This window comes from Homo sapiens, chromosome 5 (genome assembly GCF_000001405.40).
Source record: "Homo sapiens chromosome 5, GRCh38.p14 Primary Assembly".
Classification (NCBI taxonomy): domain Eukaryota; kingdom Metazoa; phylum Chordata; class Mammalia; order Primates; family Hominidae; genus Homo; species Homo sapiens.
This window is the reverse complement of record NC_000005.10, coordinates 20302004-20328046: the sequence shown is the minus strand read 5'-3', so window position 1 is coordinate 20328046 and position 26043 is coordinate 20302004. Positions and strand designations below refer to the sequence as shown.

General features: G+C 35.9%; 1 protein-coding gene, 1 long non-coding RNA gene and 1 pseudogene across 10 annotated transcripts in view; 2 read left to right on the top strand and 1 right to left on the bottom strand.

The window, feature by feature from the left end:
• The window catches only part of CDH18-AS1 (CDH18 antisense RNA 1), a 26896-nt gene extending 4400 nt beyond the window's left edge, over positions 1 to 22496 (bottom strand). Inside the window, exon 1 of the long non-coding RNA NR_146519.1 lies at positions 22160 to 22496. This is a non-coding gene — a long non-coding RNA (CDH18 antisense RNA 1). The remainder of the gene's footprint in view (positions 1 to 22159) is intronic.
• Positions 1 to 26043, top strand: part of CDH18 (cadherin 18) — a 1104418-nt gene that overhangs the window by 247667 nt on the left and 830708 nt on the right. The gene's annotated exons all lie outside the window — the stretch shown is intronic.
• NUP50P3 (nucleoporin 50 pseudogene 3) lies at positions 22222 to 26043 on the top strand (annotated as a pseudogene).

Here is a 26043-nt window from a genome sequence, read left to right as displayed (position 1 = left end):
CTTATTTTCTAACATGCTAAGTCTCTATTCCCCAGGACTTTTGCATTTGTTTCCTTTGCCAGCTATAAAAACCCCACATATTCACATAGTTGTCACTGTTATTTCCTTCAGACTTTTTCTTTTATCTCAACTTTATTAATATTATTGTATTGTTATTATTGTTATTATTTTTGTAGAGACAGGGTCTTGCTCTGTTGCCCAGGGCAGTCTTGAACTCCCGGCCTCTAGTGATCCTCCCACCTTGCCCTCCCAGAACTTTTCTCTAAGGTCACATTCCCAATGAGGACATTTCTAAGACTTTCACTGTCCTATTACTTTCTAAGTCCCAGGGATACCTTAGCTTTATTTTTTTTATCAGCATCTGAAAATATGCATACTTCAACTTCTTTGTTTGATTATTTTTCAGAGTCTTTTCACTTGGATGGATAGGAACTGTTATTTGTGTTGGTCACTGCTATATTCTCAGAACTGGAAGAGTGTCTGAGGAGCCACAGGAGCATCTGTGACCTGTGCTTTTTCCAAACGGGCTTTTGTGAACTTCGGTATTTAAAGGAGCAAGAGCAAGCAGGAGGGAAAAAAGAGGGAGAGATAGTAGGCAATGAGGCAGATGGTTACATTCTCGTGAGGCTCTGTTTTGCCATAGTAAATCTACTTTTTAGAAGTGAAAGAGGAAGCAGACGAAAAAGTCAATTAGGCACTGTCATTTGCTCCGTAAATCTACATTTTACATAAGATAAGTAAGCAAGAGAGAGTAGAGGAAATGAGGCTATGATACAAGTTGTGAAATTACAGCTATGTGTTTAGGAACTAAAAGAAAGCAGTTTTTGTATGACTCAGTTCCCAAGCTGAACTTTCCCTTTGGCATAATGAGTTTGGGGTCGCAATATTCAATTTTCTTTCACAGGTTTAATATGATCTATCTTTACCAAAAATATAAGTTTATAATACATAGTTATAGCTCCCTGAATTTTAATTTAAAAAGTAATTATAGCTACATATCTGCAAATAGAATATCAATCGTACATGTAACCGTGTGGTAAATACACTTAACACAGTGTGTTTTAACAAGGGTCACAGTACATTCACCCGTCTATGACACTCTCTGTCATTTACAGAAAGTAGTTGTTAACTAGATCGTGCAATTATTTTTTAAAACTGTAACATATATTTACATTCAGTTTCAAAACTTAAATAATGTAAATATGTGGCCAGGCCCGGTGGCTCAAGCCGGTGATCCCAGCACTTTGGGAGGCCAAGGCTGGCAGATCACAAGGTCAGGAGATCGAGACCATCTTGGCTAACATGGTGAAACCCTGTCTTTACTAAAAAAAATACAAAAAATTAGCCGGGTGTGGTGGCGGGCACCTGTAGTGCCAGCTACTCAGAAAGCTGAGGCAGGAGAATGGCGTGAACCCGGGAGGCGGAGCTTGCAGTGAGCTGAGATTGCGCCACTGCACTCCAGCCTGGGCGACAGAGCGAGACTCCATCTCAAAAAAAAAAAAAAAAAAAGTAAATATGTTTAATATTTTAAAAATTCCATCTACATTGCCAAATGATTTGATTCAGTCAGACTTTTTTCCTCTAATCATAGGTCCCTTGTTGTTACCCACTTGTTTGCAGCTGAATTTAAGTTTGTAGTTAGAGAGTTGGGTAAAATATTCAAGAGTATATGTAAAGACTATTGGGAATAATATAATTTTTAAATGATAAATGATACTTTAAAAATATATAAATGGTAACAAGCCATTAGTGTAGATAATCACCTATACCAGGGATTCTCAGATTTGTTTGCACATTAGAGTCATTGGTATACTTCATAAAGATCTAGAAACCCCATGTAATACTGATAACTTATAGGTACAGTATTGGCACATCCTAAGTGATGTTAATGTATAAAGTTGAGAACTAATGACTTGGATGAGATTTTAGATGGTTATTAAAGCTATCACTGAGAGTGAGATCTTGCAGAAAGAGTATCTAGAGTAAAATGTGAAGAGGTCTCAGAAATGTGCCTGAGCATATTTAAACATGGGAGGAAAAGTATGAGGAAGCAATGAAGACTAAGAAGAGGCTCTCAATAAAGTTGGGGGAAATTTGTGAAATGACACCCAGGAGCCAAGAGGGAAGGGTGTTTCTCATTTTTCACAATGCTGAATGCTGCTGAGAGTCCTATTATAATATAGGCCAATGTAGATGTCATAGATGGCCTTGGGATAACTCTATGGTTATAAGCAGAAACCAGATGTCAGAGAATATAAAATGCAATGAACAGTAAATATGAACAACCATTGGAAAGGATGATTGTAAGGGAAAGAAGGTGATAAAATGATACTCAGCTAGAAAATTGAGTTGATTCCCCAGAAAGTGGTTTTTATTTCTTTTTTTTTTCTAAAGACAGAAAAGAAAAGCACATAAATGCTGAAGTAGTGATCTAATGGACTGAAAATAAAAGACAGAAGGCAAACATGATAGTGAAAAGATCCCTAAGAATGAGGGATGGGTGGCGGAAGGGTGCGGTCATAGGGTCACAGTGGATGAAGTTGGAGGTAGAGAAATGTTTGTTTCGCTCTGATTATTTATTTTCTGTCATTTTGCCATTCCATTGAATTAACATGTAAGACATGATACGTGTATAGCCCATGGAACAAGTTTTTGAAAAAGGAGACATTGTCTTATCTCTGTCCACAAGTGGGATACAATATACTAGGAAAGGCAGATACCTAAGCAAGTTATTGTGATGTGGTAGAAATTGCAACAGAAGCTAAGAGGATGGAAGGGTTCAGTTCTGGGGGGATTCAGTTCATGGAGGATGGCCATACAAAGGAAACTTATTAAAGATTGGTTTAATAAAACAGAGTAAAGGCATTCATCGGAGAGAAGAAAACTATTAGTAACTATTTTTCAATGTCTGATCATTGCCAACGGGGAACTAGAAACTTTACAAACCTTAAAAGCATTCGGTTCTTTAAATACCACGGGTTAGGTGTTATTATCATTCCCAAATGATAGATAAAGCAAGCTTGGGCTCAGAGAAAGTAATTTTTAAAGGATATAGGTTTTAAATGGAAAATCATGATTCTCATACAAATATAAATAGGAGGTGGCAATTTTAACATATTCATTAATAAGGGAACTAATAAGATGTTACAACTGATTCTAATTTAAAGGTGTATACACACATACACATAGAAAAGTAATGCTGAAATCAATGTATAAATAGATACTAAGTTGCCTTCTGTTATAGTTTTATTTTGTTAGCTAAACTGTGTTTTTTGGTGTCAGACTGTTCCTTCACCAGGTAGAATTTGTATGTCTTTGGACTGTAAACAACATAGAACCTTCTTACTACATTTTACCCTCCCCTCACCCATAGAAACAAATAATTGAAAGATTATGCTAAATGATGCCTTGTTTTTTTCAGTAAAGACTCCCATGAATATTTGAGGGATTTTTTTAGAAGTCTGACACAATATTTCCCCCTACAAATGTTTTGTTTTGTTTTGTTTGAGACGGAGTCTTGCTCTGTTGCCCAGGCTGGAGTGCAGTGGCCTGATCTCAGCTCACTGCAAGCTCCGCCTCCCGGGTTCCTGCCATTCTCCTGCCTCAGCTTCCCGAGTAGCTGGGACTACAGGCACCCGCCACCATGCCTGGCTAATTTTTTTGTATTTTTTAATAGAGACGGGGTTTCACCATGTTAGCCAGGATGGTCTCCATCTCCTGACCTCGTGATCCGCCTGCCTCAGCCTCCCAAAGTGCTGGGATTATAGGCGTGAGCCACCCACCGCGCCCGGCCTTCCCCCTACAAATGAATTGCTCAGCTTTCAGAGATAATTAGAGTCTGTATTCTAAAAATACAAAATCCACAACTGCACACTGATTTGAACTGATCCAGTGTGTTACACATTGAGTGGTGGTGGGTTGGGTCTTCCCTTTTAAATCGATGTAGTATATTTGGAAAACAACTAGTTGATTTTAAAATTGTAATCTTAAAACCGTTGAACTTTGGGCACTGGCAAAAGTAGGATGTGTGAAAGAAGATTAATCTGCCACTTTTGTGTCATTAGTATGTTACTCTAATGACACTAAGTGACCTGCTTTCCATAAGGTCAGCTATACAAACATTTACATAGAATATTCTGTTATGAACTTTCAGGTGAATTAAGACATCGAGCACAAGAATTCTGGATATTTGAAAGAAAAATAATTCTTATATCTGTGTTATATATTTCCTATAATGTCTCTGGTGCTTAAAAATAATTACAACAAAACATGTTCAGAACAGCAGTTGCTTACTATAGCACTTAGAGAACAAAATGCATCACACTTCAAATGCATAAATGCAAAAGAACTAAGATAGTTTAGTGCCACAATTTTTACTGGAATTTGAGAAAAAGAACTTCTCTCTGGATATGATGTATACCAGAAAGCCACAGGGTGATAATGTGGTCAGTTAGGCATGATTTTCTATTTAAACTGAGTTGAAAAACATATGTTACTATCTGTGTACTCTACTGAATTTCAAACACATAGAACAAACAAAACAGTACTTCTGATAAAAGTAGCTCATGCACTGTTTAATGCCAAGTACATTCTCTTAAAACAGAATGAAGTCACTTGCTTTAAAAATGTATAATATAATCTCTGAAAGGCAAATGCTATGTCAGTCACATAAATTATAAATGAAGGACCCAAGTTTAGGACTCAAGAAAAAAATAAATCTTGATACAGTCATCACAAAGAGTACCCTTTCATGTAATTTTTAGGCCTAGAGACAAGGGACCAATCTAATATTAGTATAATGTACTTAAGGCTGTACTGCTAAGTTGTATTCTAATGAACAAATACAAGATTTAAGACATTTCATTGTGATGATTACAGCTAGCCCTAAAATATGTTAATTTTCTTCCTGCTTAGCTTGTTTTCAAGTGCTTGATTCTTTTCATTCACCGTGTGAATTATCTTTAAGAATGTGTTCACAACTGAAATTAAATACAGACCATATCCAGGTCATATCATTTTAACCTGCTTTTTTTTAAAACCTATTCCATTAATGCCATATTCTTTGTTGCACCAAAGGATATTCTATCTAGATTTTTATATTAATTACAATACTGGTTTACTTTTCATGTTTTGACATTCAGTCTCACAAAAGGAATTGGTTAATGGCAAAAGTCTTGCAAATTCTCTTGATTATTCTATTTTCTTTAGATACTTAGCATAACACATTTCTTTATGAAGACAATAATTTCAAAGTGTCACTATGAAAACCCAAAGTAGTTAGAATTGCTCTGTCAAGCGGCTTTTTGTCATTCATTGTCTTCTTTGAAGAATTATATTTTTTTTCTTGCAGCTTCAGTTTAGAACCTTCTAGTTAATAACTCATCTTGAATTTTACAAGAGAGACTAGTCTAACATAGTTGACATCTATTGAGCACTTTTGTGCCAGGCACTTTTTAGTACTTTATATAAACAATCTCATTTATTTCTTACCATGACACAATGATGTTGTTAACATGTAAACTGAGGAAGAGAAAACTGAAGCATCAATACTAAAGGACATTTTCCAATGTCATAGAGTTACTAAGATGCAGGGCTGACACACTCCTCATATCTGCTTGACAAGAACATATATCTTGTTTTAATTAAATTATATACAATGACATGTGAGCAATTTATGTCTATTTTCTGGGATCTTGAGCAACTTTAATTTTAGTTATCATTCTCTTTTATTGTGGATGGCAATAGTTATAATAATAATTAATATCATTATGAACAATTGGTGTTTGGAATGCACTTAGTCTGCTCTTATTGACTCAACTGAAATCAGTGGTTTCCATTCAGTGATGCAAGATACAACATCACATTCTCAGATTCTTCTTAACACCTGAATATTTAGGTTTACAGTAGGAAGATGAAATCCATCTTCCAACCATGCACTCTGTTCCTGCATATAATGTTGTTGTGCCATGAGACTTTTCCTGCAGGCTTTTTTTTCTAATTAAAGCCTGTAACCACAGATATGTTCTCTTAGCCAAGCATCTTTATGCTTGGGTAAAATGAATTTTAAATATATCAATTAAGCCTTGAAAGATAAATATATGAAAAAGTAGGCTTTGGGCAAATTTGTAAAAACTGAAGGATTTGCTCTGCTCATGTTAGGAAGATGAGAACAGGGTTGGACATTGGTCTTGCTTGATAATAAGTAAATTATCTTTGGGGCTTTAAAAGTTTCTAGTAATGATTTTGAGTGCAATGAATTTTTTCTTTGCTTTGCTTTCTTTGGATGTACAGGGGACAATAGCTATGATTATGTCAATAACATATCTGAAGGAAATTATGGGAAAGGAAATGTTAAAAAGAAAGAAAAAGGAAAGAAAGAAAGGAGAGAATAAAGGAAAAGGAAGAAAGGAATGGTATAGTTTTGTGGAAGCAACCTTGAGACAGTAAATTTAATAATCACAGAAATGAAATAGAAAAGAGTATAGCACTTTTTTTATACAAGAATAAAGCTTTTAAAAAAAGTAATGTGAAATGACATTTCCATGAAGGAGGCTATTTCTTTTTTCCTAAGTTTCTGCTTGACTTTTCCTTCCATTCGTCCCAAGCTAGAAGGAATTGGGTAGGGGAAGGAGGCTTATGGCTGAGAACAATAGATACTAATTCTCATATGTTATCTGGTCCCTGGTGTCTGACACTCTAACTACATCCAGTGTTGCAAAGGAAGTAAAACATGGCAAGGGATCAAGGAGATTTTGAGTCTGAAGAAGATGGAAGTTTAGGAAACTGTGTTTTAGCAAGCAGCTGATGGTACCAGGCATGGATTTCTGCCTCTTCTTCTCCTTGGTTGGAGAAGGCTCTAGAGAAAATCTTGTTTTAACATGAAGATGTTATTCTATATATAAGGAATTAACACTCACTTGCTGAGTTTGCAGAGCTATGAAATCTGTAAAGTATGTTTTGTATTTCCAGCGGAAAAAGAGAAAGCCAAGGAAAGAGAGGGAATAATGGAAAAGAGAGGATACAAGTGGAGACTTCCATAAAATGCATACAGGAAGGAGTGAGTTTTCATTGGTTAAAAGTAAGCCTGAGCTGGCTATCCATGCACCACCCCAAACAGCTACAATAGGTTTCCCAGGGGACAAAAAGACTCCTGTACATACTATGTACAGGTTCTGGCCACTAGAGTTGCCTGCAGTGCAGTTGGCTGAAGGGTGGCCGTGGTTGTTCTCCATCAGTCCCCTCATGGGCCACAGGAAAGAGCCAGTATCCTGGGATCAAAGATGAGAAATCTTTGCAGCAGCTACGGAGCTGGGTCTCTGTGTCTCACCTTGGAGACAGGACTAAGGTGTGTTGGCCCCTTTGCTATACAGCAAACTTCTCAGAAGGAGGACTCTGGAGAAATGGAGGAATCTCAGGGAGAAATCTGGGGGCAGTGAGTGAGATAATGATGTGTAAAGCTGACTGACTGTTTACCTCATTGAAGCTATTTTAGAAAGAGAGTGACTAGAATTTCTTAGAACAACATTCTATTTTCCTCTGCCAAGAAATATGATGGCTCCAAACAAAAAATTAGGTTGAGTTAGGGAAAGAGTTTCAGGTTTCACACTTCAGGATTCTGACTGCCCAGCTCATCCCTGTCATAGTTCCTCAGGGACACTTTTCTTTGACCCACCTCAGTGGTTCTTTTTTTTGTGTGTGACAATGCTGAAATGGTCTTACTCTTTGTCTGATTCTTAGAGAAAACCAAGGTTTATCTAAGTAAATGTACCTTATATAAAAGAAGAATAGAGAATTTTAAAGTCTTTGTAGCTCTTGATATTATTTTATTAAAATATAAATATAATATCTCAAAGATTCTTAAATCTATTTTGCCCCATCAACAATCCATCCCAACAAGCACATTCAGATCTTTATCTAGAGATACAAAAATATGCTACGGAATTACAATGGCAACACAAAAGGGAGCAATATTTATATGGCACAATTCACAGTAGCAGAGTGGCATTGTGTCCTTAGCATCCTGATATATCTAATGCAATGAGTCTTTGGAATCAGAGAGAATATAAAATTCATGCAGACATATCAAAAGACTAAGTTTGTTAGGTATTTATCAGGTTAATTAAAGTGTATTATTGGAATGTAGAATTACATAACTTGATTAGAGTACCAAACCAGGAGTGGGAGACGGAGCTGCATACAGTGACTCTCCCCAGAAATGATTAGTTCTCTGACTGTTTCTATATATAGTGTTTTTCCAGTACTTTATAGTTTCTCTGCTATAAAATTGGATGTGCAATTTTCGTAGACCATTTTTGAGAAAGTCATATGGATTATGAGATCTGGGTATGAAAGCTGAAAGAGGCTGAGTAGCTACATGTACCTCAAATTTTAATTCGACACTCTTGTCTGCCATGTGAATTCATCAAGATTAACATGTTTTGTGGTTATGCAAGCTAAATCCCTAAAAATGCAATTTATCTGAAACAAATAATGTGTTAACTTTGATCTATTCACAGGAAAATATGAAAACGTATTTAAAATACAGCAAATATGAATATAAAATACAAAAATAGAGGAGTTTTATAAGAGAAGCAACGAATACAGGGAGGCTTATGGAAGAGTCAGCCTTCATATTGAGTTTTGAAGTGTGAGAAGTGTCCAGTGATAGGTTTGAAATTGAATCAAAAAGGTATAGAGGGGAGAAAACAAGCAAATATATTTGGAAAAAACTCATAATTTGGTTTTAACTTAATCACAGATCACCTAAAATAAAATAGTAGAAGGTTGGTAAAACAGGGAGAGCTTCAAGTGCCAGGTTAGCATATCTGCACTCCATCTGACCAAAGGGAAATAATTGGGGATCTCTAGCAAAGAAATGACAGAAAAAGTACTGTGTGTCTTAATGACAGATGAAGTCAATATGGTGGTTAGAAGTCAGAAAATGATAGCAGGATCGTGAGGAAGTGATAAAAAAGACCCAGTTTTCATGAGATGAACAAGTAGACTGGGGTCCAGACCGTGGGGTCCTATTCCAAGTAGAGCAGCCTAGGGCACAATAAGAGTTTTTCTAGGGTCTGGATGCCATGGGTGGAGAGGGAACCTTGTAGGAAATAGACAGAAAATCTGATGTTGGAAAGGTGCTGAATTAGTTTGTTCTCACACTGCTATAAAGGAATAACTGAGATGGGGTAATTTATAAAGAAAAGAGATTTGCCTGTATACATATGTAACAAACCTGCACATTGTGCATATGTACCCTAGAACTTAAAGTATAATTTTTTAAAAAAAGAAAAGAGATTTAATTGGCTCATGGCTCTGCAGGCTGTAAATAAAACATGTCACCATCGTCACCATCTGCTTGGCTTCTGGGGAGGCCTCAGGAAACTCACAGTCATGGCAGAAGGTGAAGGGGAAGCTGACACTTCTTACATAATGGGAGCAGGAGGAAGAGACAACAAGGGAGGAGGCCCCACACACATTTAAACAAGCAGATCTCCTGAGAACTTGCTCACTATACAGTACCAACAGGGCATGGTACTAAACCATTCATGAGAGCCCCACCCCCAGGATCCCATCACCTCCCACAAGGCCCCACCTCCAAAACTAGGACTACAGTTCTACATGAGATTTTGTTGGGGACACAGATCCAAACTACACCGGGCACTTTAGAGAGGTTTTACTGCTTTATAATCATAGTGGCATCTTCGGACAATAGTCTTTTTTACACACTAGTGCCAGTAACTTTTTTGGGAGTTTGTAAATAAACTCCCACTTTGGTAGAGTAAAAAGAAATAATAAACAATAAAAATAAACCTAAAATAAAGATCCTGTGACTTATTTCTCTTCTATAACCTTGAATTTTCCATTTCTCACTTTAAGTTAGATCAGCATTTCCCAGAGGTCCATAGTGTTCCACCAGGTGCTAATAGATGTTACAAAATGCAACAATTCAAACAAAACATAATAGCACCTCCATGCTCAATAAAGTTGTACAAGTTCTGGAGCAAAAACTATATAGTTTTCATTACTCCAGTATCTTCAATGACATTAATAAACTACTTTGTATTTTAAAGTCCAAGTAGAGAATATACTATGCAGCAGTTTACAAAATTAGTTGAACATCGAAGTAATTTTGTTTTAGTTTTTAGTAGAACATTGCATGGGGCTAGAAGTTCTCAGAACATTTCCTGAAACACTAGGGACTTGCAACCATTCTAATCATCCCTCTGGGAGGAGGTTTACGTTTGTGAGTAACTATAACGCTTATCAACTGCAAAATTTAGACCATGTCACATGATCAACATAATCATCTCATATTTTATAGTAACTAAAATGTGTTATGTCATCCAAGATTATAATTTTGATATATGCATAAAAGCTTATGTTGAACATAATTTGTAAGCATTAGTCAAAGCTAATTTCAACTAATATTAGGCTTATTATTCAAAGCACATGACTATCTCAGTTAAATACATTCTTTTGGAAATTGTTTATGTAAAACAATGAAAGATGATTTTGCCCCCATATAGATATGTGTACTACTGAAAGTATAACATGTAATATTTAACTTACAAATATATAATATTGAATTGTTTCTCTTCAAAAGCCAGAGCAAAGAAATAATAACATGTCTTTTTAAGATGGAGAAACTACAACAAATAAAGATTTATCCTCTAATATAAACTTTTAAAACAGGTGCCTTCATTTTGGCATGAACTCAATTTTTCTTCCAAGTCAAAGAATATGAAATTGCATTTAAATAAATGCTTCTTTACACAGCTGTCAGCAAAGACTTATGCTTTACCTAGAATTTGTTCTGCTCTGACATTTGCTGAAATTTAAAGATGTGCCTAGACATTTATTGTAGGAATATATGCTTCTCAAAAAAAAGATAAAATTCTAAAGGCAAAAGCAAAAAGTTTAATTGATTTATAATAGTACATCTTGAACAAAAATGGTAGATTAACAATTTATTTTTTATGATTAATAAAATATCAATTTTTCTGTATAAGCCTTGGTTTTATTCTCTTTTCATTAAATCTGTGGCTCCCTTCTGATTCCTTATGTTTTTATCTTTATGAAAACTCTACCATTCTCAAAATAAAATGGGTCATCAAAATCTTGAATAGGAAATACAATTGAGTGCATAAAATATCCAGTAATGAACATATGGTACATCATAAAACTTGCTTAATAGTCTTTTCAAGGCAGAACACTGGTAAATAATCATGTGTATTTTGTAAAAAGAAAAATTATGTGTAAATGCTAATAAATAAACAATAACTAAAATACTATTTAGACTACTCTCCTTTTTCCCCTTCTATAACTGTCTTTACTATCATATCTCTCTTCTACCATCTCCTTTCTGTTGTCTTCTTTCTTCTCCAAGGTCAAAATGCATATCATTTCCAAGTTAAATGCGAGGCTCTAATTAGTGGCTTATCTCATTACAAAGCCATATAATTTTCAATTAATTCAAACTTAATAAACTTGACAGCTTTCTATTCCGAATAGCACTGCCTCAATTACAACTGTGTTTTCACTAAGTTTAAATAATTATGTGTATTGTGCAATGTAGAATTTATATTTTTAAGAAGATCATCACTAGCCAGGACTGGAGTAATCTGAATACAATAATATTAGAATATCTACTTGCAACCACAATATTATAATCACTTAAATATTATGTGATAATAAGAGATCTTAAATTTCAAGTTTCAGCTGTTTCTCAACATCATTTTTCTGGTTTTTAGAGTCACTTTCCACATCGATAATGTCATTTACACAAATTTATAAATTCCCAGTCACATCACAATCATACAATATTTAAACTCATGGATTTAACAATTTTCAAAATGAATAAAAAGTTATCATTATATACTGGAAGTGTATTAAATCTTGAAAGCTTCTTCTCATCTTATTGAAAACAAAAATTAATCCTTAGAGTTTGTATGTCTTGCCAAAGCTCACACTGCTAGTTAGAAGAGTCAGGATTAATGCTGTCTTCTATTTTAATTGTTGTTTTGATCGTGTCATGCTTGTCTAGAGTTTAGTCATTAGGCAAGTATTCATTGAGACCCTAATATGTGACAGGCACTATTCTTAGTTCTAGGAATGAAGTCATGAAAAACAAAATCTGCACTTGAGGAAATTACATTCTTGTCGGAGTCAGAGAGACAAACAGTAGACAAACCAAAAATAAGATAATGTTTAATCATAAGTGATAAGTACATGCCCATACAGCCACATAAGATGGAGCTATGATCTAGAGTTACTGGTTATCAAAGTAGCCTTTGTGAGACTTAAATTATGAAAAGATGTCAATCAAATACAGATCTAGAGGATGAGTGTTAGAAGCACAGTGAACTAATTGCAAGTGCAAAATCCACAATGTGGGAATGACCTTAAGCATATTTTGGAGAAGCAAGTTGCCAAGTGCAGTATAGTGAGTTGGAGGGAGATTGGTAAGAGGTGAAGTCGAAAAAGGATGCAGAAGGCAGATCATAGAGAGCTCAGTAGGCCCTTGTTAAAAGTTGAGCTTTTACACTATAGGATTTAGCATAGAGTTTCAGGACTCCATGATATCAATTAGAATACTAAGCACAAAGCAAGAGAATACAATAATGTCACTTTTTTTCTTCTAGAAGACCATTGGCAAAGGCCTGGAGAATGGATTTTAGGTAGAACAAGGCTGGATCAGAGAGACAATTAGGAGGCTATTGCAAATGATGATAGAACACTGAGCTAGAAGCAATGAAGAGTAGCACTGTATGGATTTATGATAGAGTTTGGAAATAAAGCCAGCAGAAACCAGGAGAGTGACAGAAAGAAACAAATTATGAGCTACTCCTAGATTCTTTGCTTGAGAAATTGGGTAGATGGTAGTGTCTTTAACAGAGATGGGAGGAGACATGCAAGTGAATCTTGTTACTTTTTTTGTTTGTTCCTAAACATATTATTGATAAAAATAATTATGCATATAAGCGCAGTGATATTTTTTGCAACTGTTTATAAAACTCTATTCTTGATCTACTGTCAAATTAGTAAACACTGCTGACATTAACACAGTGGCTACTATTTTAGGTAAATAATTGTTCTATACTTCACATTTGATTGTGAAGGGAATAAACATTATTTATGAAGAATGACATTGTGAAATACTTATTCTTAATAAATTTCTCATCATTTTTGTATACATTCATCTAGAAATCTTTAGATGATTATTGACTGTTTTGTGTATTTATGTATTAGTTTGTAGAATTCAACTTGATACATTCAGAGAGGGTATGTGTTAATAAAAACGTCAATATAGAAAAGAATTTATGATGTGTATACTTAGGCTTTTAAAAAAGTGGTAGCACATATTTCTTAATATTCCCATCTATCAAATAAGCTTAAGCTCTGAGCAAATGAGCGCTGTGCTCAAAAACTAATGGGGTCCATGCTAGTAGTTCTTAGTAGGCAAAATACCACAGATCCTTTATCAATAACCTAGATGCATACCCACAGATACCCCAAAGTAGTTAGTTCTTTCATTCATTTTCATCTAAGCTGATGTGACTGAATTGAAATTTTTTAAATCAGCAATTCCTCTCTTAAGGTACATGCAGGAGAAAGAAGAGAAATGAGTGGATGGCTCAAATGTATATGGTGAAAGGAAATGTTAAAGAAGATAGATAATTTATAACTATAGTGGGCACTTTGTACTGGAGTTTATGTAGAATATCTTGGTTATTATTTTCTTTAGTTGAAGAACCTCAGACTTTAGTGAGCCTAAGGCCATACACCTTCCTGGTAGCAAAGCTAACACAGAAACTCAAATTCTTGAATTTCAAGTTAATGGAGTCAAACAATATTAAAACAAAATATAATGATTAAGTATAATTTTAGGCAATAATTAATAAAGGTTCTATATATGACACCTATGGTTTTGCTACAAAGTATCCAAGAATCCTAGAAATTGTACATAAATTGTATGTAAATTTTTAAGAGGATTTGCATATTCTATCACATTGTTAAATATTATCCCAAGTAAGTTAAGATTCATTATCTTAAACACACAAAAAAAGTAAGTAAGTAGGGATACATCAGAGTGCCTGTCAAAATATGTAACTCGTATTTTGGCAGCAATGTACATGTTGGTCGCCTTCTTTGAGTACATAAGATTACCCAAGGAAATTTGAAAGATAATTACATGTAGGTGTATGCATATGTGTGTATGATTGTGTGCATAATAGATGTATGTGTGTAAAACTGTAAACTACAAATTCATATATCTAGTTTTTTTCAGATATATACACCCACACACACAGAGAAATAGAATATCAAGCCATGTTCTAACTGTGCACTATCCCTCATTTCATCTCTAAAAGGAGGCACTCAGATAACAGCCATATTGCTACAAACTTCTCTCATAATCTCTTTCGGGGGCTGTTTGACACTATTTTCCTGAAAACCTGATTGTTAAGCATGCTCTGTTTACATAATAAACAATTGCAGCACAAATCTAATCTTCAATAATTTTATGTTAAAGTCAGTGGAGGTACTTTATTGAGTGTATTTTTAATACAGTTTTACATCAGATATGTGGTTGAGAAAAAAACATAAACAATAAAGATGTTTTAATTTCAGAAAAGAAATGAAGATCAAATTTACTTGAAACTAACCAAATCAAATGACAAAAAAATCAGTCTCTATCCCAGTTCTGGCACTAGTGTTATAGAAGAAGGGGAAGTCAGTAGAAAGAGAAATGACAGAATGAGAACCATCTCATTTAAGAATAAAAGGTTTTTGTTCAGTGAAGCAACAAATATAATAGGAAACATTTTAAAATACCCAATTAACAACTCTGATACCTGAAAAATCTATTGACTGCATAACTAATAACCATGACTTAAATTGTAAACTTTTTTCATTTCATTGAAGTTAAGCAGGGAATTGTTTTATCAACACAAAATTATTTATCCTTGTTATTTACCAAGAGCGTATCCATTGCATGTGTAACTATAACCTCCTGAAAAAATAGGATTAATTCATTTTCTCAACCATTGTTTTAAGCACCTGCTATTTAAATATTGTTCTAGCACTGCAGATTACAATTATTCATATAATTGGGGGGATTTAAAGAAATAAAAAATAAATAAGAAAGAATTGATTAAAAAGAAGAGAATACAAATGACAGGAAAATGGCTTAAATTTAGAAACAGGAAAAACTATGGTGAATAGCCTTCAGATTTGGGTAATAAAAAGAGGAAATTTGAAAAATAGTAATAGATTTTCTAAGGGTCTTCTAAACTATCTTTAAGACTAATAAATATTGTAAGTTGGGGAGTATAAGGATATGAATTTTGATCAAATTATTAAAAGATTAGTAGTCACACAGAAGACTTTGGCTTTGACATGGCAAACTGTAGAAAGACCTGGGCAGTTTTCAAGGAAGGGCTAAAATGTGGTATATGAGTGGGACAGCATTAGGCACAGTAGGTTTGGGAGTTATAAATCAGCAGGTGCTGCATGGCGTCTGTAGGAATGAACAGCTGAGCAAATCATCATTTCTTCATCCAAATGCCGAGAACCTAATAAGTGGTAAAAATGAACAGACATAGTCCCCTTATGGTGACTTTTTGTCTTCTATTTTTTATCTGCTTTTAATTTTAACATTAAAAATTTTAATTTAAAAGGAAGCCATAATGTATTATCTTGCTCATTTAATTAATTACAGAAGTTAACAATGAGAAAGGAATGAAAGAAAGTCAAGGTAGGGTCAGGGTAAGTTAGGTTATACTGCAGAAACAACCTTACAGTTTTCATGGCCGATTACAATAAATGTTTGTATCCTGCTCATCATACATTCACTGTGTTAGCTGAGGACTTTGTTTCCTATTTTGTTATTAGCTAAGCTAATGAAGCAGCCATTATCTTGTGAGTTGACAGTTGCTGTGACAGAGGGAAAAAGAATACTGACAATTAGATATAACATGGTGCATCCACTCAAAACTCATTGAATATGGCTAATTGTACCCACCATGCAAAAGAAACCCATATGCAAGGGAGTGTGGGTGGATGTAATCCTGCCATGTGTTCAGCAAATAGGGAAATAGAAGTATTTCCTCAGCTTCTACAATGAGATGGAGTAAGACTCCTTCAAAAAAATGTGAGACTGGTGAAAGGCTTTTTTGTTTTTTCAAAATGTTAAAAATAGTGTTTGATACCATGTGAAAATAATGGAGTATCATACAATAATTTTTTATATTATTATACTTTAAGTTCTGGGGTACATGCACAGAAAGTGCAGTTTTGTTACATAGGTATACACGTGTCATGATGGTTTGCTGCACCCATCAACTCATCATCTACATTAGGAATTTCTCCTAATGCTATCCCTCTCGTAGTCCCCCATCCTCTGACAGGCCCAGTGTGTGATGTTCCCCTTCCTGTGTCCCTGTGTTCTCATTGTTCAGCTCTCACTTATGAGCGAGAACATGTGGTTTTTCGTTTTCTGTTCTAGCGATAGTTTGCTGAGAAGGACGGTTTCCACCTTCATCCATGTCCCTGCAAAGGACATGAACTTATCCTTTTTTATGGCTGCATAGTATTCCATGTGTATATGTGCCACATTTTCTTTATCTAGTCTATCATTGATGGACGTTTGGGTTGGTTCCAAATCTTTGCTATTGTGAATAGTGCCACAATAAACATACATGCTCATGTGTCTTTATAGTAGAATGATTTATAATCCTTTGGGTATATACCCAGTAATGGGATTGCTGGGTCAAATGCTATTTCTAGTTCTAGACGCTGGAGAAATCGCCACACTGTCTTCCACAATGGTTGAACTAATTTACCCTCCCACCAAAAGTGTAAAAGCGTTCCTATTTCTCCACATCCTCTCCAGCATCTGTTGTTTCCTGACTTTTCAGTTAGAAAGGCTTTTTTTTGTTTGTTTTTGTTTTGTTTTGTTTTTTAAGGGTCAGGGGTGTATACAATATTGAATTCAATGTCTGGTGAATTTAATAACTTTTCTAAACTATTCAAGGATGATCTTTTGAATGTTGTTATTAATATAGGGATTGAAGACTCATAAAGTGGCTGGGATATATATTTGGTCGTTACTGGATAGAATTTATAGATAAAGTTGCAGAATGGGGATTTACTGAGGGCATGACAATTCAGAGAGACCAGAAAAACAGCAATGACAGATTGCAGTTGGTGTTGCAATGAGGAAGAGCAATCCAGTAGTCAGAAAAGAAGAAAGAACAATGTGGACAATGCATTCAATGTATCTTACAAAGAAGTGTTTCTAGAAGTAAGTGGCACAGCATGTCAAATACTAAAACAAGTTGAATGAGGGAGAAAATGTTAATGGAATTGGCTTATAATAATATCTAACATGCAATCAACACTTACACCGGTCAGACCCCACTTTAAGACATATAAATATGAACTCATCTCACTTTTAGACTCTTTATTACAGATGAGACATAATGAGCGAGTAAAAAACCCTGAGGTCACATGACCAACAAATTGCAGAGACAGAATTTGAACCAGACATTCTGGCTGCAGAATTCTGGTCTGTTCTTAATCACTATTTTATATTTTAATGTGTGTTTCTAGGTATATTTCCCCCAATTAAAGCAAAGATAAAATGTGGATTACAAACTAGTGATAATGGTAAATGGGGCATGGAGACAAGTACAGTCTATATGCTTGTGGAGTTTAAAAATAAAACAACACAGATATATTTTACATTATTAAATTAAAGCTGTGTTAAGATAAGATTGAAGTTTTCTGACCTGGTTTGTTTTTAGAAATAAGTCATTTAAACATCATTACTGGAAAATAAAGGAGAAAAATGAGTTAAACCTCGTAGAACACCCACTATTTTAATGTATTCCATTAAACATTCAGTTATTGAATTTATTGAAACAGACACCTTCCTCAATTTGCAGAATATTAACTAACAGCATCACAATTCACAACTAGGTTTTTTTGGCTTCAGAACCCATATTCCTTTCACTGTGCCATATCAGGGGACACACAGTGAAAAAAACTATTAGTGAGATTTTTTTATGTGTTTAATAAAGGGATAGCAACTTAGATAGAAATACTAGAATTCAGTGAAACAAAAGAAACATTTTTATTTTTTTCTGAAAATGAAAGTAAAGATACAAAAAGTATAGAGACAGAACTCTGTCAATTTGACAATGGCTATATATGCAGATGCATGTGAAATTAATAACAGTAGTAAAACAAACACTGACTACATATTTTAAAATCATTTGCTACCCAGCTATGATGTCCTCAAAGTAAATGAAGAAATCTTAATATGAGTTGACTATAATTGCTTCCAAAAAATGGCTGGAGATATTTATGCTCCGCTAAAATCTGTCACATGTCCATTATGTAGTGATATGTTAACTAGCCTACATTTCTTTGTGTTTGTTTTTTGAACAAGTTAGGCAGCAGTAACTGTCTTCAGTTATCATCTGATAGGAAAAAATGTATTTCCAAGGATCATTCTTACAATTAAATTATCATGTCACATGTGGGTTTTGAATTTATGTGTTTTTTTTCTTAAAATTATTTTAATCTATATTCTCTTTTGTTATTGTTGTTAGTACCAAGAGGACCAATTAAATTTTCTGATTCTTTGGACATGTTATTTTTAAGACAGTGTGCCACGGGGACGAGGGCATAGATGTTTCTAGCCTATTTAGACAATTAATATTCTGAACTAGGCTTGCATTAGGTGAAGAGGCATAAATGAAAAGAAAAAGGGAGGAAATATATTTGCCAAAGCAAAATCCCACATGCTTCTCTGTTTCTTCCTCCCTCAAGAGTGAAACAAGACAATTTTCTCTATAACTTGTATGAGATAGAACAGTAGCAGTGTGATCTGTCAGTATGATGTTAAGCATAAGAAATTTTTCCCAGAGCAGCTACCTCACATACGCATGTCGATGTGTGTACATGTGTGTTTAGTTTTCTTATTATAATTCCCAGTATTCTACACTATTTGGTTTAACATTTATGATTAGAGCCAATCCTCTATCCAGTGTAAATAACATAAATAAATACCCCAATTTTAGTGCTCTAATGTACGAAAATCAAAACCTTATACGATTAAAGGGGTATCTGTAATCACTGACTCTTTGAGTTTTACATACAACAAAATGCCAGATGATAGAGAAAATGCCACATAATTGTCTATATCTAGGTATATCTGACCTTGGTTTTCAATGTGGCATAGATACAGCCATTTAAAAATGAAATGAGTTAGGTCATTGCCTACCAAATTCTTGGAACTTAATGATTTAGAAGAAAGATGATAAACATGTAATGTTTTGGCAACTTCCTTGCTTGATTTCTAATGCTTGTTTACCTTAATAACTTAGTAGGTTCTTTTATCATCATTTATCTATTCTCACCATTTCTCAACCCTATTAAATCAATGCAACTACTTCACCTCTCTGTTTTTGTTTTCACACAGAATTTTTTTTTTTTTTTGACTGAGTCTCGCCCTGTTGGCCAGGCTAGAGTCCAGTGGCACGATCTCCACTCACTGCAACCTCCCCCTCCCGGGTTCAAGCGATTCTCCTACCTCAGCCTCCCAAGTAGCTGGGAGTACAGGCACCTGCCGCCACTCCCGGCTAATTTTTTGTATTTTAGTAGAGATGGGGTTTCACCGTGTCGCCCAGGCTGGTCTTGAACTCCTGAGCTCAGGCAATCTACCCACCTCGGCCTCCCAAAGTGCTGGGATTACAGTCGTGAGCCACCACCCTCGGCCTTTTGGCTACGATCAAGTGTTAGTATCTATTCTTATCAGTTTAACAAAAATGTTTTAGAAGTAGAACAAGAATTTTCATATTGACTTTCCACCCGTTGCAATTTAACAAATTTAAACTGTAAAGAGTTTGCTATCAAATATGGGTTGAAAACCAGTAAAAAAAAAAAAAAAAAAAAAAAAAGCAGTAGTATTCAAAGAGGCAAATAATATGCTGCTTTGGGGAAAAATATTTTCATTCTAATGTGCAGTTTTTAATCTTAAAAACACAATTTAGCTAACAACAATAAAAACAAATGTTCCTGTTTCTAAATTAAATTGTTTGCATTAATGTTCATATATGTGAAAATATAAATGTTTAAGGTTAATGAAGGACTAAAAGTGACCATTGTAAAACAAACTAAGACTAATAATATTAGACCCTGTGTCAGCTGAGACTCTGCCATAAACAGAAATATTTTGTAAGTTTTAGAGACATATTAGGAAGAGTTTTTAATAATAATCACACAATAATCACACTGTATTTTATATCTTGGCTATGACTTGGGATATTGATGCTTAATCTGAAAATAAATATCAAGGGAAATGAAATATTGTTTAATTCCATTTCAGGTTCTATTTTCCAAGTAATTTTTACCCTCCAGATGGTAGGCAATGCATGCCAGTGAAACACAATGGAAGCAGTCCACTTTAATCTCCTAAGGCACTGCTTCTTCTTTTTAACATGTGTGAATTCATGTCTTCTCTAGTGCTGTTCTAACTTTAATTCATATTGTTTAGAGTTTAGTTTTCTTTGATGTGACAGAAAAATCTGCAAAAAGCATATTAAATGTTATATGTCTCTTGTTGACAAAATATCTAAGGTAAATCTATTGTCTTCCCCTAACTACTCCATAGGCTACTAACATGTCTCCCCACATCTACTCTGCCCTCTAAGATCCATTCTCAATGCTAAAGCCCAAAATGTTATTTAAAAAAAAAAAATCTATTGGTGTCATCCCCTGCCAAAATTTCCTCAATGAATATCCATTGCTCTTAGAATAAAAGATCTCATCTCATTCTGTACTTCCTGAATTTGCTCTGCAACCACACTGGCTTTCTCTCTCTCTAAGTTGCCATGCACATACTGCCTTAGATCTCATTATATTATATAATTTATCCCATCTAAGCCAATAATATTTCAGGAGGCTATCCCTCATTTCCGAGACTGTCACATCTTCTTAATATGTCCTGTATTTTCCTCATAAGATATCACAGTTGGTAAATATATATTGAGTAGAATTTCTATTTGAATGATTTAAATGTTATTTTTTCCTATAACTATGGCATAAATTCATTGAGAATTATTTCAAGTTATTCAACAAATTTGATTATACCATAATAAATTATCACATGTATTAAATCATAAATTATTAAACAAATTAAATCAATAAATTATTCCATAATAAATATGGAAAGTAATATATCAATCACTGATCTTTGTGTTTTCCATATAGGGAAAAATAGACGCATTAAACAGAGATTTTAACCCTCACTGTTAAAAACATACCTTTGTGATTTCCCCTTAGCAGGACTCTGGAAAGTCTTCAGGGACTAACGGTTTAACTATGTCCCCAGTTAGAATTGTCTCAATACAAACATTACATTTGATTTAATAAAATGCTTATTTAAATTTCAATTTATTCAAGTATCAAAGTAGTTTATTAGTGAGTTAAAGAGTGTGATTAACATATGCAGCCATTTGTTGAGGCAAATCCTATCGGCAGAGTATTAAAAGCCAAGAGTATAGGGAAGGATGGTAGATTACGGAGACAAAAGCAAAAAAATGACTCTATGGAAAAGGCTACTTTGAGTTCGGGATTTTCTGGGCTAAGCAATTTCTAAAGAATATTCTTAGCAATAATATTAACAACATTAATGTTACCAACAATTATTTTTCTGTAGAGTATATTGGAAATATGAAAAAAACCTGCTATTGAATAGGACTGTGATCTCATAGAAGATGAACATAACATCAAAATGCTGTAAAGTCATAACACAGAATGAAACAGAGTAATTTATATTGAAGCATTTTCTATGTATTTTCCTTTATGTTTTGATCCTCATGGCCTGATAAAACTAAAACCAGAATTAGCATTTGTCTGGATAGAATTTGAGGAAGCAAGGCTGTGTGTAGAAGTCTTCAAAAGTTCTGATCGCACTGTCTCTTTTACTCAGCAAACGATTTAACACGTTCCTCAAAACATGTCTATATTGTTATGATAAATTGTATATATATGCAGCTACAGTAATATATTAAACACATTATCCAGCATATAATAAAATAGAAATGTAAATATGATGGATTGAAATAAGTTGAAGTTTTAATATAGGTACCTGTATACAAGTGGAAAATTGTAGCATCCTTTGTGTGTTCAACCCAGTTCAGAACACTGTCGGGGCGTTTCTTTCCTCCCTTTTTTTCGAATTGGTTTTGGGGGTAGATTCGAGTTACAAAATGGCCGCCCAAAGCGTGTTCGGCGCGGTTCCCACAGCGGTCTCCGGCTGAACCGGCGCGTCTCGCCGCCTCGCTGCCGAACACAGCGTGAGGATCTCCCCTACCGCCGCTCCCCCCACCCCCCGGACATGGCGTTTGAGTCTCTGGGTTTGCCGAGCACCAAGTCCTCTGAGGCCCGCAGCGCAGGACCGGAAGCGGCCGAGCGCCCTCAGCCCCGCGACCACCAGCCGCTCGAGACCCCTGCGCCGCTGCGCCCCGGGTTTCGCGGCACCCAAGACCCAGCGAGTGCAGCGGCGGCCGCTGAGGAGGTTCGAAAACATGGCCAAAAGCCGAGAAGGAACTGACAGATAGGAATTGGGATCAAGAAGATGAAGCTGAAGAGGTGGGAACATTCTCTGTGGCCAGTGAGGAAGTCTTGAAGAATAGAGCCATAAAGAAAGCAAAGCGCAGAAATGTTGGATTCGAATCTGACAGTAGAGGAGGCTTTAAAAGTTTTAAAGGTTTAGTGGTACCTTCTGGAGGAGGACGGTTTCCTGGATTTGGTAGTGGTGCTGGAGGGAAGCCTTTGGAAGGACTGTCGAATGGAAACAACATAACCAGCGCCCCTCCCTTCACCAGTGCAAAGGCAGTGGCAGAGCCCAAGGTAGCCTTTGGTTCTCTTGCTGCAAATGGCCCTACCGCCTTGGTTGATAAAAAAGTTTCAAATCCCAAAACTAATGGGGACAGTCAGCAGCCCTCCTCCTCTGGCCTTGCTTCCAGTAAAGCTTGTGTCAGAAATGCCTATCACAAGCAGTTGGCCGCCTTGAACTGCTCCGTGCGGGATTGGATAGTGAAGCACGTGAATACAAACCCCCTCTGTGATCTGACACCTATCTTTAAAGACTATGAGAAATATTTAGCAAACATTGAACAGCAACACGGCAACAGTGGCAGGAATTCTGAAAGTGAATCTAACAAAGCTGCGGCTGAAACACGGTCTCCTTCCCTTGTTGGCTCAACAAAATTACAGCAAGAGTCAGCGTTTTTGTTTCATGGCAACAAAACTGAAGATACACCTGACAAGAAGGTGGAGCTGACATCTGAAAAGAAAACGGACCCATCATCACTAGGAGCGACAAGTGCCTCATTTAATTTCGGCAAGAAAGTTGATAGCTCTGTTTTGGGCTCATTAAGCTCTGTCCCCCTGACTGGATTTTCATTCTCCCCTGGAAACTCCAGTTTATTTGGCAAAGATATTACCAGAGTAAACCAGTCTCTTCACCATTTCGCACTAAACCATTGGAGGGCCAAGCGGAAGGTGACAGTGGTGAATGCAAAGGTGGAGATGAAGAAGAGAATCATGAGCTACCCAAAGTAGTAGTTACTGAAGTAAAAGAAGAAGATGCTTTTTACTCCAAAAAGTGTAAACTATTTTACAAGAAAGATAATGAATTTAAAGAGAAAGTCATAGGTACTCTGCATTTAAAACCTACAGCAAATCAGAAGACACAGCTTTTGGTGCGGGCAGACACCAATTTAGGCAACATATTGCTGAATGCTCTGATTCCACCCAATATGCCACGTACGCCAACAGGGAAAAATAACGTTTTTATTGTCTGTGTTCCAAATCCACCAATTGACGAGAAGAATGCCACCATGCCAGTCACCATGTTGATTCGGGTAAACACCAGCGAGGATGCAGACGAGTTGCACAAAATTTTACTGGAGAAAAAGGATGCCTGAACACGCGAAGTCGGCTGCGGAATTATTGCCAAGTTGCTGCTTCTTCCACCATCCCTTCGACTTAGTTTTTCTTCTCTTCTTTGACATTCTAAGAACTTACAGATAACTTAAAACTTTTGAGAGGAAGATTAATGTGGCCAATAAAACCTTTAAATGTTAAGTGTCAAGAAACCGCACTCTCCCTTCTTAAGAACTGCCTAAAGTGTAAAATACATTTGAATGCAATTTTTGGAAGATTTTTTAATGTTCGTTTGTTTATTAAACTAACCCTAAGTGATTTCTTCAAGCACTGCAATCATGGTATCAATTCGCTTTCCCAAAGGCTCTTACAACCCGTGGGTTTTGGGGTCCACCGCCATCACCAGAGAGGCTTTTGAACAGGTGCCTGGCTGTGTTCAGAAGGAAGCTGGCCTGTATGCTTCTCTCCGGTGGGCTCAGCCGACGTGTGAGACTTGTTGTTACCAAATGAACCGGGCTGCGACGCTGTGACAGGCATTTGTCCTCTGCTTTATTTTTATTTTGAAGCTAAAATGTGAGTACTAAGTGTTCACCTCAGCGTTCGAATCATTGGCCTGTAACCCTGTGGGCTGCTTCACGAGAATTCAGGACATGCATTTTCATTCTAAAAAGAAACGAACAGCTTGTGAAGGAGTTTTTTGGCTTTGTAGTGTCTATTCATGAGGTAGTGTTACTTCTTTATCCCCCAAAGACAAAATGAAGATATAGGGGGATTGCCAGGAATGGGTTTAAAAGCACAAATTTGGTAGCTTATCATATACACCATGGAGAGTGAACCCTTACGAAATGAAAGTCAAATGAGACCATCCTAGAAAAAGAAGATGCTCATAGACATTTGTACCCTGATCAACCCCACGCATATGAAAACTATGACCAATTGACGTGCCTGGGAGCTTTGACACACGAGCCGTGTGAATTCACTAGGAAACATGTAATAAGGTAATGAAAGAGAAAATCGTGTGTAAATTTTGCCTTTAACTTTAGACAGCAGTATAATATACACTTGATATCTGAAATATTTTTACTTTTTTAAGAGTAAGATTCCATATGTCTGTTTGGAAGGGAGCCAGGGTTATGCACACGAATATCCATGTCACTTCTCCAGAGCTGTCAGGTAACTAACACGAGCATTCTTTGAAGTCTCTGGGCACATGAATGAGATACAGAATTGAATGTTTAAATTTCCACTTTGATTCCTCATGAATCATTTGAGACTAGTAGCAGCTGATCTTGTGTACAGGCTCAGGGTCAGTGCCCAAGGGCTCACGTGTGTGTGTTCTGATCTTCAGTGCGTAGCGCATTCTCATTTAGAAAAGAGTAGTCTGAATAATTGCGGACGGTACAGTGGCTTTTTAAAAACTACAGTCTTTAGGTGTAAGGTTTGGGGCCGGGAGCAATTTTATGATCAAATATGATGAACTCCTAAGTACCTGAGGTGTGATTGGGCCAATGTTGTCATGAGGTTCTTGCTCGACTTTCAGTGTTTTGATTCCACTGGGAGAATTTGGCCTAGTGTGTGGCTTTGGATGAATCCGCGCAGAGAGAGGTGAGCTTGTACTGTTACAGGATGCTGTCAGACATAGCGATAGTAGGCACCTAGGGAGGAAGTGGCCATGATTTTTACACTGACTTTTTAGAATTGAGAATGCACGTGGGGTTTTGTTGCAGATGATTCATAGTAAGCAAGTGGCTGATGCTGTTAATACCGGCCCTGCCCGATTGACGTTAAGTTTATTCAACTTTTAAAAAGATGAAGAACTAAGGGGAACAAATTTAAGTTTGTCGCAACTTAGCCACACGTGCTTCCCTGGTACCAGCTGGAATTATGTTTTAAAATGTTTAATGTGGACTGAAATTTTCATCTTTTGTTTGAGAATCTATGAAGTGTATCATATACTTGGCCTAAAGCAAGGTGTATATTTTGTTATTCTGAAATTGTTTTGCATCTGGACAAATACTAAGTATCCCAGTGGCCTTTTTTTTCTTAAAACCTGTGTATCCATCTCATCCTTTTGTGGATTCC